Source organism: Homo sapiens, chromosome 12 (assembly GCF_000001405.40).
Source record: "Homo sapiens chromosome 12, GRCh38.p14 Primary Assembly".
NCBI lineage: Eukaryota > Metazoa > Chordata > Mammalia > Primates > Hominidae > Homo > Homo sapiens.
The window spans coordinates 11,131,940-11,150,102 of NC_000012.12; the positions used below are offsets into that span (position 1 = coordinate 11,131,940).

General features: G+C 35.2%; 3 protein-coding genes and 1 long non-coding RNA gene across 6 annotated transcripts in view; all 4 read right to left on the minus strand.

The window, feature by feature from the left end:
- The window catches only part of PRH1-PRR4 (PRH1-PRR4 readthrough), a 325,777-nt gene that overhangs the window by 286,091 nt on the left and 21,523 nt on the right, over positions 1–18,163 (minus strand). The window lies entirely within an intron of this gene.
- PRH1 (proline rich protein HaeIII subfamily 1) overlaps positions 1–18,163 on the minus strand; it is a 290,647-nt gene that overhangs the window by 250,975 nt on the left and 21,509 nt on the right. The gene's annotated exons all lie outside the window — the stretch shown is intronic.
- Positions 1–18,163, minus strand: part of PRH1-TAS2R14 (PRH1-TAS2R14 readthrough) — a 234,202-nt gene that overhangs the window by 194,530 nt on the left and 21,509 nt on the right. The gene's annotated exons all lie outside the window — the stretch shown is intronic.
- Positions 1,019–2,705, minus strand: TAS2R30 (taste 2 receptor member 30). Its single transcript, NM_001097643.2, has one exon. The coding sequence runs from the start codon at positions 2,303–2,305 to the stop codon at positions 1,346–1,348; it is 960 nt and encodes a 319-aa protein (NP_001091112.1). The 5' UTR covers positions 2,306–2,705; the 3' UTR covers positions 1,019–1,345.

Consider the following 18,163-nt stretch of genomic DNA (forward strand, 5'->3'; position numbering starts at 1 on the left):
TAGGTCCTGGGAGTCAACAGAAAGCCTGACAGACACGATCTCTTCTTTTATGGTTCTTACATTGTACTGAGGAAGATACATGATTCTAAAAAATACATGAATCAGGTGTGGGGATGATTTATCTTAAGGTCTGAACAACATTGTTAAAATTTCATAACACCAAGAATTAATACAGTCATGTAGAATTTAGCTGTAAACAAGACTGTACATTTCCTTCTTATAATAGAACTTCCCATTAATGAATATGTCAAGACAATTCCATTTAATCATTGACAACAAAATTACACTAGGACAAATCCCATAATTAATACATAGATTTCATAGATACTATTTTAACACTTAAAAAAAGTTTCACTGAATTATTTTCCATAATTTTTATACTATTTTCACATTGACAGATTTTTTTTTAGAAAACGGAAGACTGGAGTTCTCTTATCTGAAGTTTAGAAAGAATTTTAAAAATGGAAGATAAGGATATAATTAGCAATTCAGGGGCTTAGAAGTGCTTTAGAAAAAATACTAAAATAATTTACATCTGAGCTCAATTTCAAAAAAAGTTTTTCTTTAATTGAAAAGCTGGAAGAAATGACTGTTCTAACTGCATATGGAAGCTGATAATAGCAATCAAGATCATGATCATGATTTTTCATCCCTCTTATAGCAGAGATTTTTTTCTAAGCTATTCACATACTTGTATTAAATCTAATATTCCTCAGTACTGTTTATGGTACACATACATGAAATTTACTATACGTATACTTCTCACTCAAATTTTATTGTGTTCATTGTTTTGTAACAATAATTCTGATTGCTTTTTACTAAACATAAAATAGGAATTCATAATGGAATAAAACCCTGAAGATACATCCTCATTAGTGATTAAGAATTGAACGACCTTATTATCAAAAAGTTATAGGTTAAAACAACAGATTGTAAGCACACTGTGGTATATTTGTGTCATTCAAATAACAATAGAAAAGAGCAATATTTTTCCTGAGATAAGCTGTTAGTTCTTAATAATTATAAATAGATATAAATTCTACAAATGAAATATAAAATACATGTATGAAATAAACATGGCTTCATAATTGAGGAATTTTTGTCATATTTTCTATAATTTGGCAGTTTTTGTGAAAAAACAATAAAAAGCATGTTATTGTCAATGTTCTTCAGTTTTTCATACACACACACACACACACACACATCTATATATATGTACTTTTCTAGACTAACTTTAGGTAAAAGACTTTTCTAGGTATACATGTGGAAATTATTCATATACATATATTACAGAAAACCCAGTAAGAAATATAAAATGTTTCATACACCACCAGTTTGTTTTCTGCTAGAAGACACACAATGCCCCTCTTGTGAATCTATGGAGACGAAGGCTTCTGTCTTTCACCCAGTACCTCACATGCCGCAAAACTGAAAGAAAAATCTGCTTTAGCTTCTTGTTTCCCAAAATCAGGATGAATGGGTGGGTTGAAGGATAGCTGAATATAATAGCTTGGCAGAACATGAAGACAGGTTGCTTTTCCAGCCTCCCAAAATTACAAACTGATATGATCATGGACAGAAAGTAAATGGCACATAACAGAAGAAAGGAGGTCACAGTTTGCAAAGCTTTTATGTGGACCTTGGTGCTGGGATCTTGAGATCCTTTGCCATGGAGCTGCATCTTCTTGAGATGTTTACACAGAGAACAGATTAACAGCAGAAAAGATATCAGGGTCAGAGTGAGGGGTACAAAGTTTGCTAGCATGGTTAGAGTCATATTTGAATGGTACATTGCACTCCTCAATTTGATCTTCCAAGTCACGTTTCCTTCATATTCTTTTGTCCATACAGTCTCATCCATGTTTATCACAAAAAGATGACAAACCAAAAATAGCAAAGGCCCCAACAGTATCACCAGAACAACACTCTTAACTCTCCTCTTTATGCGAAGAAAAATAAGGTTGGAGAAATTGGCAATCCTGAGCAAATAAAACATGCTGAGGCTAGTAGCAAGCCAGCTGCTGAAATGGTTGGTTACTGCCCAGACATTATAAGCAGTAATTCTTACTTCTACACTATAAAAAGCTGGATTCAACTGAGTTGCATACCAATGTAGTAATAACACCCAGAGCAAACCAACTCTGGAGACCGCCAGAGCAGTGAGAATTTGGTCAACAAAGGAGATCTTTTGTCTCTTGACCCACTCAATGGAATTTACCAATGCTATGAAGCCATTAGCAAAATTTCCAATAACAAATATAACCACTATTAGAATGGAAAAAATGATGGGCAGAAAAGTTATCATGTCTGAACAGACAAAAAGAAATTTTTAAAATGCTGGTGTAATATCACTGGTTGTGATTGCTTGAATATCCTGACCTTAAATTCTATATGCACCTGATTTGTGTATGTGCTGTGACATTCTTTTTACTTTTAATTGCTGTGACCAGTGTCAAGTCAGAAATCACCATGGCATGCTAATGGATAAGTTCAATGCTCTCTTTATGGAAAACATTCTTATTTTCAAAACAATTCAAATTAACTGACTCATTCACCATCTGTTCTTGTTATAGGCTGGAATTATTCATACTGAAATTGACATGAAACCTGAATTCTCATTTGCTAGTATGCAAACAAGGACATGTTCACTTCCAGTGTTTGCAATTTTTCCTTGTGTAACCTCTCCATCATTTGTCTTTAGCGACTTCAGTTGCTTGGGAAGTTTTATAACCCGATATGTAGATCGTATAGTAAATGTCTAAAATCTTAAAGGGAGCTTGATCATAACTAAGATCATCACCAATACGGACTTTTTTAAATGCCAGATTTAAATACACAGAATCCAAACTGCTTTTATCAAAAGCATCTAAGATTTACTTGAGAACCACAGGCAGGCCAATACTCCATAAGATCTGGTTGCTGCTAATACTTTTGTGTAACTTCATTATTCACAAGCTCATAAATACACACACAAACACACACATGTGCACACCACTTATGAATGGAACGAATTATTTTCTCATAATTTCCAAAATAAAAAATCAGTTTCCAGGAGGTTGTCCAGGTGAAATTAGTCCTATTTTCCCACTCAAGGTTTTCAGCCCACGAATAATGTTTATTTATCAAACATATCTCTAATTCTTAGGCCTTTGGTAAAGTTTCTCTCAAGTCTAATATTTAAATATTTATTATTTAATTAAAATGTTCAGCAATTTTATAAGTATTCCTGAGTACCAGACCCTTTGATATATAATCTTGCAGTATCCTCCCATCACACGAAGACTGACTACCTTTCCCCTGAACTTGAAGTTCAATCATTTAACTTACTTTGATGAACAAAAAATTAATACACTTTGCATAGAAATTTGAGATAGCTTCCATACTGGGTGTTCTTCCTCTTTCCATTTACTATGAGAATATCACCTGGCTAGTACACTGTTCCCAGAAGGAGAATCAGAAACTAATGAAGGCAGATTGCCCCCCACCTGATCCAGACTAAATTGGCCAAACTCTAACGACCTCCAAGATGCAGAATTTGGCCCATCTCAAGTCACCAGAGCTATCCAACAAACCCATTTAGAAAAACAAAATCCAAAGCCATGTGATATATAAATATCTAATGTAGTTTTGAAGGGTTTCTCTTGCAGAAAAACATAACTGATAAAAGAACTCTGCTAAACCAAGAGTGTGGGAAATGTGTACAACCTTGTTGTGTCAGGAATTCAGGAGCCAAAAGAAAAAATAGATGGGGAACGGCAAAGATTTGTTCATGTGAGGTGGATAATTAAGGCTAGAAGAAATCCTTTGGAAAAATCTGGGGTGGCAAATAAAATCATCTCAAATTTCCTCATGTTGCAACTAAATAAAGTTCTTACTTCAACTCTCTTAGAGTTGTATAAGAATGTATACCAATAGTTTATTTTTCCCCTCAGTATATAATGAGACGAGTAATAATAATTTCTATGAGACGTTTCTCCTAATTAAAACTTTTTATGTTAAAATTATAATGCACACTTAGAAATGAACCAAAACAAAAATGGGAAATACCGCAGTGTATCATAAACATTCAAGTAACCATTATGTGGAGCAAGACAAGGAACACTGAAAACAGCCTAGGTCCACCTCCATGCCACTTTCCAACCCCCTAAACCCTTCTTCACATCTCCTGAGATAAGCAATATCCATAATTTATATTGATTATTTCCTTAATTTTCTTCACACTTTACCAACTAGGTATGCAACCCTAAACTCCATCGCTTGGTCTGGCCTGCTTTGAACTCTGTGTAGGTGCATTCCTACATGTTCTTGTTGTTTGTGGCTTCTTGGACTCAACATTATGTTTCTGAAATTTAGTCACATAGTTGCAAGTACATGTGGTTTTTTTTCACTTCTCTATATTGTTCCGTTGCATGGAATTAATGTAATGATTCACCCATCCTTAATGTACATTTGGTCTGCTTCTTTTTTGAAGTTATGAATAATTCTACTAGAGAATTCTTTCATATATCATTTGATGCAATTCCTCTGTATATATACCTTTGGGTAAAATTACAGGGTCATTGTTCAAAATCTCCTCATAGACATAGAAAAGTTCAAAAACTACTTCAAGTAAATTTACTCCTGTCACCTTTACCTCCAGTCTATTTTTTGCCATTTGCATATGTCTTATCAATTATATAATCACCCTCAAGACATTATTATTTTATACAGCAAACATTCATTTACAATTATGCACATATTTATCACTTTCATTAATTTGTATTCCTTCTTGCATATTCAACTTAATATTTTCAATAAGTCTCTTTATTGGCCAGGCAGGGTGGCTCACACCCATAATCCCAACATTTTGTAAGGCTGGGGCAGGAGCACCCAGGAGTTCAAGACCAGCCTGTGCAATACACCGAAACTCCCTCTACAATAAATGAAAATGTGAGCCAGGCATAGTGAAGCTACTCACAAGTTCTTTAAAAAGGAGTTTTTATAAATTTTTAGTATACCTGACATGAAAATGGTCACAATTTTCTTCTTTTTGTAATACAAAGGTCACAGAAGAGATTAAAATCATGGTCTAGGCATTCTCCTGCAACTTGGAAGAAACCGGAAATTGATTTGATGTGAGTAGCTTTTTTTGGATAGTAGCTTGTCTGTTGCTGGGTCATCACCACAAACTCACCTTATAGGGAAATTCAGTGAGCAGCACTAGATCTCAAAATGTCATTACAATTAATAAAATATAGTATCTCAACCACAGCTCCACCAATCTATTCCACGATTTAAATTTTACTGTTTTTATAAGCAGAAATCAAGGCTTCTTCATTTATAACAATCTTTAAAAGATCAAAGAGTAAAACAGTACTTACAAGTTTATCAAACATTGAAGAACTTTTATTCCCATGGAAACAAAACTGAATCTGGTGCTTCTAAGGAATTCCACCATTTAATCCCTATCCGTGAATATAGTTTTGGTTATAGAACTATAACCTTCAAACTCCATCATCACTCACTCAAGTGTGACAGAAGATCTGAGGTCTTACCTCTGTTTGACAATCTGGTCCTAAAACTCTCTCTTTAGAAATATAAGCTTGCTCATAAAATGTGCTATTTGCTTTGTCTTTCTTACTAGGGAGGTTTAGTTCCATTAAAATCTAAATTGTTTCCATAGTGATCATAGTGAAAAGAGGATTAGTTTAAGCTCATCCATAAATAATTATTTGCTTAAGCAATGTATTGTAAAATAAACTACACTTAATTTCTAAATCTAAGTGTATTGAGCTTGACTTAAACTTTGCTGTTTACTCCTGTAACTTTCCAATAATTATGATCTTTTTAAAATTACTTATTTTCCAAATTATGTGTTTAAATATTTCAAAAATAAATCATTTAATGAGATAGATGTGGATATAGATAATGATAATGATGATGGCAGGTAAAAGGGAGAATGCTATTTGATAAATGTGATTTCAGTCTTGTTTTTTAAGTACTAGACTTCAAAGTAATGAGAGAACAATATTATTCTTCTTCATGGCCTCATGATTCTTATATTATTCCAGCATCAGGCCTAGGCAAATACCCTCACGTGGTATTTCATCAAGAATAATGTAAAACCAATGTATTTTCAATGATTTATTTGCTTTTTTTATTTTATTATACTTTAAAAATTCATAGCAAAAGTGATCTCCAACAATTAGGATTCTATTTTGGGTTTTTTTGTGCAGTTTTCAATATGAAAATAGACAAATACTCTATGCAATATACAGCATATCAATTTTATTTCATCTTTTAATAGCATCATTAGCAAGCCAAATTCTTGTAAATGCTTTTTCACATTCTTAGCTATGGTGACTAAATCTGTTATCTTACTATAGCAGTCAAAGTAGCATTATATATGCACAAACATACTCAAAGATCATGCTAAATATGTTTTACACCTTAACAAATTTGCCTATGATTTTTCTTCTCTAATGCAGAACCAAAAAATATATAGTAACAAAATATTTAACCCAAAATGCAGGTGTACACATGAATAGTATTGTGAAATTAGAATGCTAACAATATGAATATACATATTTCATTTAGAGACACATTTTGGCATAATAGGTCTATATATGTAATATCCATCTTACTATAGTTTATTGGAAATTCATGACTTTCTGACACTGAAATGTGAATTATGAATAATTAAATTGGAAATAAGAATAAAGGTGTCTAGCAATCATAAATATTCAAATTTTGATGTTTCAAATTCATATTAGCATTAAGAAGGTGGATTTACAGTTCTTGCTTATCTTCTTTTTTAATTAATTTAAGAAAACTTTTGGGCCAGGTGTGGTGGCTCATAACTGTAATCCCACCATTTTAGGAGGCTGAGGCAGGTGGATTGCCTGAGCACAGGAGTTCAAGACCAGCTTGGGCAACATGGCAAAATCCCATCTCTACCAAAAATAGAAAAAATTAGCAGGGCGTGGTGGTGCACGCCTGTTGTCCTAGCTACTCTGGAGGCTGAACTGAGAGAATCACTTCAGCCCGGGTGGCAGAGGTTGCATTGAGCCGCGATTGCACTTGTGCACTCCAGCCTGGACAACAGAGCAAGACCCTGTCTCAAAATAAAAAAAGTTTTAAATTTTAACTTGTATTTCTTAGTACCATAATGCTCTATTCTCCTTTATTCAGCAAAAACTCTAATTACAATGGTATCTATGAGAATATGCTGTATCACCCTGAATTTATACGTAGAAATGTACTTATGTTTTTGCTTTTTTAACATTTTTTTATTGGGGAATATAACATACAGAGAGTAATAAAACCTAAAAACAGTAAGAAAAAATTATAACATTAACATTGATGTTACCAAACCTTGGTCAGAAAATAGAATTTGCCAGCAATCCAGATACTCCCAATATACGTCTTCTTGTTGATATTTCCCTTTTATTTCCTCCCTCCTGATTATCCCAATTGTTATGATGATCATTCATATATTTCACTGTAGAGTTTCATCACCAATGTAACAAATTACAATGTATTAAAAATTTTTTTTCCAAACTTTATGTAAAAGATCATTCCAAATGTATTTTTCCATCTTGATAATTCCTTTCACATCTGTGAGTATTATTATCTATGTAGCTCAAATTTGTTCATTTCCTTTGTTGTATTATACTGTTGTAAACATGTCAGTCTTCTTTGTTAATTTTGATCACTGTATAGTATTCCATTGTATAAGTATGCCATAATTTGTTTATCCATTTGGAGGACTGACAGACATTCCAAGTACTTCTCAACTTTAGCTACTGAAACTCAGTGATACGCATGTGCATGTATATGTATTCGGATAAGAGTGTAAATACTGGGTTTAGGATGTGATCCTTCATCTTAATCAGATAATGCCATACTCAGCCAAAATGATGGTACAGATTTATCATCCTAGGAGTAGAATATGAAAATTCCCATTGTTTCATATCCTTTCCAAAATAAGTAACGTAAGAGTAATATTTACAGTTTTGTATTTATATAACATATTATTAAACAATAGTTTCCAAGTTCTTTCCTATTCTAATTTAGAATGTATTTTTACTTCAATAAATTTCATTCTATGATAGTTATTTCATATACATTTATTAATAATGCCTTATATATTATACATATTTATTTATATTTCATTATAAATTTGTCTAACCTTTTTTTCTTCAAGTTTCAAATACTCTTTTCTTATAAGCAAGTGTAATTATACTGGAGATATTTCCTTTAATCAATCATTATGCCAAAGGACTTTGAAAAAATATAATTGTTAACAGCACTGTAAGGGAAATTTCAGGATTGTTTAACAACTCCTAAAAGGACTCAAAGACAAAAATGTTGAAATATAAAAATAGACAACAAGCTTAATGTAGGTGTCCATGGGAAAAATAAATATATCATTGCTGTTATTGAAAAAATGAATGGTAGTAAATTTATCATGTCTGAATGTTTTAAAAAGTAGGCCTAATATCACTGGTCAAGATTCCCTTTAAGGTCCTGACCTTAACTTCTATGTGTAACTGATTCCTGAATGTGCAGTAATGTTCTTGTTCCTTTTAAATTCTGTGACCAACGTCAAAGAGGAAATCATCTCAATATGCTAATGGATGAAATCAATGCTGTCTTTATGGAAAACATGATAATTTCCAAAACAGCTCAAATTAACTCCTATTCAAACACAACATCCTTGCTGTAAGGTAAAATTTTCCATATTGATGTTGAAGTGAAAGCTGAATTCTCATATACTAGCATGCCAAGGAAGAGTTTTTTAATTGTTCTGCAATTTTTTCCTTGTTTCACCTCTCCATAATTTGTTTTCAGCAACTTCAGTTGTTAGAGATATTTTACAACCCAATACATATATGACACATTGGTTGTATAGCCTGGTGAATGGAGCTTGAGGATAGCTAGGATCATCACCAAAGTAGATTTATTTTTTTTCAATGCCAGTAATATGTAGAGTGAATCCCAACTTTTCCTACCAAAAGCATTCAAGGTTTTCTTAGGAACCTCAAAAAGGCCAATAGTCCTTAAAACCTGGTTGCTACTAAGTAATACTTGTATAACTTATTGTTAACAAGCTCATTAATACAAACACACTCACACACATACACACATACTCACCCCTCATGAATAGGAGGAATTATTGTCCTATAATTTCCAAAATGGAAAATTAATTTTAGGGAGATCATCCAGGTGGAAATAGCCCTATTTTCCCATTTGGGCTTTTTGACCCATTTTCAATATTTATCAAACTTACCACTCATGCTTAGGCCTTTCACTAAGTTATTCTCTTGAGTCTAGTTAATACTTAAATATTTATTGTTTAATTAAAATGCTCAGCAATTGTGTAACTATTGTGGGTCACTTGAAAAACACGTTTTCCATTGAAGAGTCTAGACTTCTTTCTATATGAATATTTGGTTTTGTTTTCCTCTGCTTAATTTATTTTTGATTACTTAATGGTTTAAGATGAGTAGATGTTAAAATCAGTCTCCAATCTTGGATTTTATTTATTTTTCATTTTTACAGTATAATTGTTTCTAAGAGAGGATTTTGGAGTCAGACTGCCAAGACAGGAAACCAGATTTTCTGCTTCATATAGGTATGCTCCAGACAGACCTCATTTTACAACTACTCTATGCCTTGGTATAATCATCTGTAAAATACAGATGATAATAATATTCTCTTTGGATAGTCTTTCTGAGGAGTTAATATACTATTTGTATAACTGCTTTCAATTTTACCTTCTGGTACAGGCAGGAATCAAGGATTATTAATTTTTCATATGATCATGTGTTACTTGATACATAAAAGATACCAGTGAGAACTTCCTTGTTTTGGGTGGAGGGAGGGAGACAGGGTCTTGCTCTGTCACCCAGGCTGGAGTGCAGTGGCTTGATTACAGCTCACTGCAGTCTCAAACTTTTGGGCCCAAGTGGTCCTCCCACCTCACCTTCTGGAGTAGCTGGGACTACAGGCATGCACCAAAACATCCAGATAATTTTTTTTTATTTTTTTATAGAGACAAAGAGTCTCCCTATGTTGCCCAGTCTGGTCTTCAACTCATGTGCTCAAGTGGTCCCCTCATCTTGGCCTCCCAAAGTGCTTGGATACAGGCATGAACAACCACACCTGGCTGAGAACCTCCATTTTTGAGCAGAACACACAAGGTTAAGAAAGGCATGACATCCGTCTCCAACAACTAGGATAAAAGAAACAAAAGGCCAAAATTATATTTTCAATTCATCACAGAGTTGTACAAGCAACGATGACCAGCTGAACTGAAATTCAGCACAAGGAGAGTCTTTATAGGTGAAAAGTCAACTTATATATATTCAGTGCAATCCCTACCAAATCCCAGAAGACTTTTTTCACAGAAATTGGAAAACCACTCCTAAAATATATCTGGAAATGCCAAGTGACAAGATCACAAAAAGAAATTGTTAAAAAATAAGAAATTTGGAGGATTATACTTTCTGATTTCAAAGCTTACTTCAAAGCTGCCCTAATCAGGATTCTATAGAACTCACATTACAGTAGACAAAAAGAACAATGAAACACAACTGAGAGTCCAGAAACTAACACCAACATTCATGGTCAATTGCTTTCAAAAAAAGGTACTATTGCAATTCGAAAGGAATTAATCGTTTTTCTCAACAAACAATGCCAGGTAAAATTGAAGAAGACTACCTCAAGGAATTTAATAATCAATTTCCCTAAGGTCAAGGATAAAGAAAGGATTCTAAAGCAGCAAAAGAAAAGAAACAAATAATGTACAATGGAGCTCCACTACATCTGGCAGCAGACTTCTCAGTGGAAAAAGGCCAGGAGACAGTGGCATGACATATTAGAAGTGCTGAAGGAAAAAACTTTTAGCCCAGAATAGTGTTACTGGAGAAAATATTCTTCAAACATGAAAGAGAAAGACTTTTCCAAACCAACAAAAGCTGAGGGATTTCATAAACACCAGATCTGTCCTATAAGAAATGTTAAAGGGATTACTTCAATCAGAAAGAAAAGGGCATTAATGAGCAATATGTAATCACCTAAAGCTATAAAACTCACTGGTAATAGTAAGGAGACAGAAAAACACAGACTAGTATAACACTGTAAATGTGGTGTGTAAACCTCGCTAAAGTACAAAAATTAAATCATGAACTGACAAAAAAAAAATAGTTCCCGCAACCTTTGAAGATATAGACAGCACAATGATATATAAATAGTGACACAAAAAGTTAAAAACTGAGAAGATGGTGTTAAGGTGTAGAGTCTTCATTTGTTTAGTGTTTGTGCTTGTTTGTTTGCTTATGCAAACAGTGCTAAGTTGCTATCAGCTTGAAATAATGGGTTACAAGATAGTATTTGCAAGCCTCATAGTAATCGCAAATCAAAAAACATAATACAATGGATACACACAAAAAAATAAAAAGCAAGAAACTATATCATATCACCAGAGAAAATAACCTTCACTAAAGAAAGATAGGAAGGAAAGAAAGAAGAGCAGACCACAACATAACCAGAAAACAGATAACAAAATGGCAGAAGTAAGTCCTTACTACCAATAATAACATTGAATGTAAATGGACTAAACTCTCCAATCAAAAGGCATAGTCTAGCTAATCAGTTGCCTATAAGAAACACAATTCGCCTATACAGACATGCACAGATAGAAAATAAAGGGATGGAAAAAGACACTCCATGGCAATGGAAGCCAAAAAAAGAGGAATAGCTATACTAATATTAGACAAAATAGATTTCAAGACAAAAACTATGAAGCGACAAAGAAGGTCAACATATAAAGGGGTCAACTCATCGAAAGGATATAACAATTGTAAATATATATGCACTCAACACTGGAGCTCCCACGTATATAAGTCAAATATGATTAGAGCAAATACTGTAATAGATGGAGATGACAACTTATTAGCAAGTCTACTGGCTCCAGGCTGGTACTGGGAGTTGTCTGCACAGAGTCCTGTGATGTGAACAATTTATGGGACTCTCAGCCTTGGACACCAGTGCATGTTCCAGTTGAGGTGATGGAGGGTGCAATGGACTCCACGGGGGTCCTTAGCTTTGGTGGTTTAATGCTCTATTTTTGTGCTGGTTGGCCTCCTACCAGGAGGTGGTGCTTTCCAGAAAGCATCAGCTGTAGTAGTGTGGTGAGGGACTGGCAGTGGGTGTGGCCCTAGATCTCCCAGAATTATATACCCTTTGTCTTCCACTACCAGGGTGGATAGGGAAGGACCATCAGGTGGGGGCAGGGCTAGGCATGTCTGAGCTCAGACTCTCCTTCTGTGGGTCTTGCTGTGGCTGCTGTGGGGGATGGGGATGAGATTCCCAGGTCACTGGAGTTGGGTACCTGGGAGGATTATGGCTGCCTCTGCTGAGTCTTGCAGGTTGTCAGGAAAGTGGGGGAAAGCCAACAGTCACAGGTCTCACCCAGCAACCATGCAAACTGAAGGGCTGGTCTCACTCCCACCATGCCCCTCCCAGCCGACAGCACCGATTCTATTTCCAGGCAGAGGGCAAAATGGGCTTGAAAACTTGCCCAAGGCTATCTGCCTCCCAGCCATGAGAGAAAAGGGCTTTAGTTCTTCCCCAGCCTGTGACGTCTGCATGCCCGATTCACATCCTCCCCCGAGTTCTGGCCAGGAGGCTTCTTGACCAGTTCAAATTGTTATAAAGTTCAGCTAGAGATTTCTTCTGCCTGGGGGGTTTTACCCCCTGCTCCTCTGGCCACCCTCCTGATGGAGTACTATGGTGCCAGGCAGGAATCGGCTGTTTGGGGACCCAGTGAGCTCCCAGGGCCTTCTGCCCTGCTTCCTCTACCCCTGCATTTCACTCAGCTCTCTAACTTAACTCAGCTCAAGGTAAAGCCAGAAACTTCTCCTGCAAACAGACCTTCAGTTCTCCAGTGGTGGTGTGTGTTCAGAAGAGGAGGGTCTCCCTTTCCTACTCCTGCAGTTGGGGAAGTCACTGTATTTGGGTGTCTCCTGGGTCCTGCAGGAGCACTCTGCTTCCTTCAGAGGATCTGTGGGTCCTCTTGGGATTACTGGTTTGTTCTTGCAGTGGATTTGTAGCTAAAATTCACAATACAAGCATCCACATGCTGGTCTGTCTAGAGCTGCAATCTAGTCCTGCCTCACATCCATCTGCCACAATCCCCCGAAACTCTGTAGTGTTTATTGTTCCATCCGAACCTACACATGTGCCTATACTTTTTTTGTTTTGTTTTTTGTTTTTGGTTTTCTTTGAAACGGAGTCTCGCCCCATTGCCCAGGTTGGAATACAGTGGCGCAATCTCGGGTCACTGCAACCTCTGCCTCTCAGGTTCAAGTGATTCTCCCTGCCTCAGCCTCCTGAGTGTCTGGGATTACAGATACATAACACCATGCATGGCTAATTTTTGTATTTTTAGTAGAGATGGGATTTCACCATGTTGGCTAGGATGGTCTGAAACTCCTGACCTCAAATAATCTATCCTCCTTGGCCTCCCAAAGTGCTAGGATTACAGGTGTGAGCCACCATACCCAGTCTACATGTTCTAAAAAATGAAATTGTTCCTCACTGATACATAATCCCTCAATATTAGAATTTCTCAAATTAAATTCCTGAAAATGTTAGAATTAAAAGGTATTTTCTAAAACAGAAAAGGATTTCACAGAAAAGGAAATTTGGGAAACTCCACATAGAGCACTTCCTTTTACATACTAACAGAGTATACAGAAAGCTTATGATTTAAAAACAAACAAAAAGGTTAAAGTCGCTTAAGCCAGCATTGCCTAAAATATTTAAAAATTAAGAACTTTTTTTTTGTAACAACTATGAATATTCTGCTGAACTCTGAGAAATTCTGCTCTATATCTCTTTTAATGACAAATGTGTATTCTGCTATAATGAAGCATTATAATGTTTTTAAGCATAAAAAATGTTAAGGCTTTTATCTTAATGTTAACAAACTATACATAGCTCTATAACTGTTTTTGCATATCTGTAATCATTTTATGATTATTTTTAGAAACGTTTCAGAAATATGTAGTTATACATGCATATCAAAAAGTATGTGTACATAGATACATAGATATAAAGTGTATGTATTTTTATGCTAAATTCGCTTTGACTATATCCTACTATATGCTTCTACCAGTAGTGAAAGAGATTTTTCATGTTTCTGAGCTTTTTACTATCTGGATACCTTTTTAGTATTTTTATAATATATTTTACCAACAGATGTTCCTCATTCTGTGCGTCTTTACACATTTTTTTTCTTTCAGTCTTTTTCTAGTATTCATTCTGCTTTATTCTTCTAGGTAGTTTTTTTACTGAATCTAAAGTGTTTCCCAGGCCCTTAGCATAATAAACTACTCTAAATGAGAAAAAAAATGGCAATATTTGCCTTAACATCTTACATGTATACCTGAATTTGGCAAGAATTGATGTCATCACAACAATGAGAATGTCATCTAAGAACATGATTTTTTTATTAGGTAAAATGAGTATTTTTAATTTCATCCATATATTCCTAGTTTTAATACTCTTTCTGTATTCATTATCAAATGCCTAGATGTATAATTAGACTAGAGTCAGACAGCTAACTTAGCTGGATTAATTAACAGATCTTTCCAAGGAATTTAAAACTTATCAAACTTTTCCTTTATGTTTCGTGGTTTTTGTATCTTTCAGATAAAATCCTCACCTACCCTGAATTTATAAAATAATTTACATTTTTCTTAGCTTTAAATTTTGTTCTTAATGTTTAGATCTTAGTCCTTTTGGACTATTTTTTGTGATACAAGTTACACACTGATTTTCCTCCTTATGAAAAGTCCATTATCCAAACAATTTACTGCAAAAAACACATCTTATCTACTAATTTCTAATGATAATCTTATTATAAGACAAATTACATGTGCACAAAAAGTAAATTACCTAAATATATTCTGCCTTACTATTCCCTTTTGTTGTCTATTGCATCCTTCTGTGCCAAAATTCTTTCAATTTTCATAATTACACTATAATAAATCTTGATACCCAGTAAAGAACTTACCTCCTTCTTTTTCCAAGTTTTCTTGCCTATCTCCGAACTGTTAATTTTCTATATGTATTTTTCAAGTCATTTTTCACAATTTTCACAAAACTTTAATAAGACTTTGCCACAACTTGCATTGACTATATTAATCTAGAAAGAAATTATATTTTATAATACTCAGTTTATCTATGAACATGATACATCTCTTCATGTATTGTTTTTGAAACAATGTCTCACTCCAGTTGCCCAGGCTGGAGTGCAGTGGCACGATCTCGGCTCACTGCAGCATCAGCCTCCCAAGATCAGATCCTCCCACCTCAGCTTACTGAGTAGCTGTGACTACAGGTGTGTGCCACCACACACCGCTAATTTTTGTATTTTTAGTAGAGACAGGGTTTCACCAGGTTTCCCAGGCTGGTCTCGAGCCCCTGGACTCAAGGAATCCACCTGCCTGGGCCTCCCAACATGCTGGGATTACAGACATGAGCCATGACACCTGGCCAAAGAATTTTTTAAATTTACATATTGTAATTTACTGTTGGCAATAGATACACTGTTTTTTGGTAAATCGATGTTATATGAAGAACCTTGTTATCTTTTCTTATGCTAATAGTACCTGTTGATTCTTTAGGAGTGTTCATTTAAGCAGTGACATCATCACATCATTATACTGTAAATTTGTCTATCTCATTCCAGTTCCTAGATGAGTTTATATTGCTTGTCCTATTACATTAGCTAAAAGTGCTAGAACAATGTTGAGTTCTACAGATGTTAAAGAGCATTTCTGCCTTATTTAAGATATCAGTGAACTTTAAAGTAGTTTTCCAATTCTGTGAAGAAAGTCATTGTTAGCTTGATGGGGATGGCATTGAATCTATAAATTACCTTGGGCAGTATGGCCATTTTCACGATATTGATTCTTCCTACCCATGAGCATGGAATGTTCTTCCATTTGTTTGTATCCTCTTTTATTTCATTGAGCAGTGGTTTGTAGTTCTCCTTGAAGAGGTCCTTCACATCCCTTGTAAGTTGGACTCCTAGGTATTTTATTCTCTTTGAAGCAATTGTGAATGGGAGTTCACTCATGATTTGGCTCTCTGTTTGTCTGTTATTGGTGTATAAGAATGCTTGTGATTTTTGTACATTGATTTTGTATCCTGAGACTTTGCTGAAGTTGCTTATCAGCTTAACGAGATTTTGGGCTGAGACAATGGGATTTTCTAGATATACAATCATGTCGTCTGCAAACAGGGACAATTTGACTTCCTCTTTTCCTAATTGAATACCCTTTATTTCCTTCTCCTGCCTCATTGCCCTGGTCACAACTTCCAACACTATGTTGAATAGGAGTGGTGAGAGAGGGCATCCCTGTCTTGTGCCAGTTTTCAAAGGGAATGCTTCCAGTTTTTGCCCATTCAGTATGATATTGGCTGTGGGTCTGTCATAGATAGCTCTTATTATTTTGAGATACGTCCCATCAATACCTAATTTATTGAGAGTTTTTAGCGTGAAGGTTGTTGAATTTTGTCAAAGGCCTTTTCTGCATCTATTGAGATAATCATGTGGTTTTTGTCTTTGGTTCTGTTTATATGCTGGATTACATTTATTGATTTGCATATATTGAACCAGCCTTGCATCCCAGGGATGAAGCCCACTTGATCATGGTGGATAAGCTTTTTGATGTGCTGCTGGATTCGGTTTGCCAGTATTTTATTGAGGATTTTTGCATCAATGTTCATCAAGGATATTAGTCTAAAATTCTCTTTTTGGTTGTGTCTCTGCCCAGCTTTGGTATCAGGATGATGCTGGCCTCATAAAATGAGTTAGGGAGGATTCCCTCTTTTTCTATTGATTGGAATAGTTTCAGAAGGAATGGTACCAGTTCCTCCTTGTACCTCTGGTAGAATTCGGCTGTGAATCCATCTGGTCCTGGACTCTTTTTGGTTGGTAAGCTATTGATTATTGCCACAATTTCAGATCCTGTTATTGGTCTATTCAGAGACTCAACTTCTTCCTGGTTTAGTCTTGGGAGAGTGTATGTGTCAAGGAATTTATCCATTTCTTCTAGATTTTCTAGTTTATTTGCGTAGAGGTGTTTGTAGTATTCTCTGATGGTAGTTTGTATTTCTGTGGGATCGGTGGTGATATCCCCTTTATTATTTTTTATTGTGTCTATTTGATTCTTCTCTCTTTTTTTCTTTATTAGTCTTGCTAGCAGTCTATCAATTTTGTTGATCCTTTCAAAAAACCAGCTCCTGGATTCATTAATTTTTTGAAAGGTTCTTTGTGTCTCTATTTCCTTCAGTTCTGCTCTGATTTTAGTTATTTCTTGCCTTCTGCTAGCTTTTGAATGTGTTTGCTCTTGCTTTCGCCAAGTCAATCCTAAGCCAAAAGAACAAAGCTGGAGGCATCACGCTACCTGACTTCAAACTATACTACAAGGCTACAGTAACCAAAACAGCATGGTACTGGTACCAAAACAGAGATATAGATCAATGGAACAGAACAGAGCCGTCAGAAATAACGCCGCATATCTACAACTATCTGATCTTTGACAAACCTGAGAAAAACAAGCAATGGGGAAAGGATTCCCTATTTAATAAATGGTGCTGGGAAAACTGGCTAGCCATATGTAGAAAGCTGAAACTGGATCCCTTCCTTACACCTTATACAAAAATTAATTCAAGATGGATTAAAGACTTAAACATTAGACCTAAAACCATAAAAACCCTAGAAGAAAACCTAGGCATTACCATTCAGGACATAGGCATGGGCAAGGACTTCATGTCTAAAACACCAAAAGCAATGGCAACAAAAGACAAAATTGACAAATGGGATCTCATTAAACTCAAGAGCTTCTGCACAGCAAAAGAAACTACCATCAGAGTGAACAGGCAACCTACAGAATGGGAGAAAATTTTCGCAACCTACTCATCTGACAAAGGGCTAATATCCAGAATCTACAATGAACTCAAACAAATTTACAAGAAAAAAACAGACAACCCCATCAAAAAGTGGGCAAAGGACATGAACAGACACTTCTCAAAAGAAGACATTTATGCAGCCAAAAAACACATGAAAAAATGCTCATCATCACTGGCCATCAGAGAAATGCAA

Bases quoted from the DNA above. Each gene is read 5' to 3' on its own strand.
- TAS2R30 (NM_001097643.2), bottom strand. From the start codon at position 2,305: ATGATAACTTTTCTGCCCATCATTTTTTCCATTCTAATAGTGGTTATA.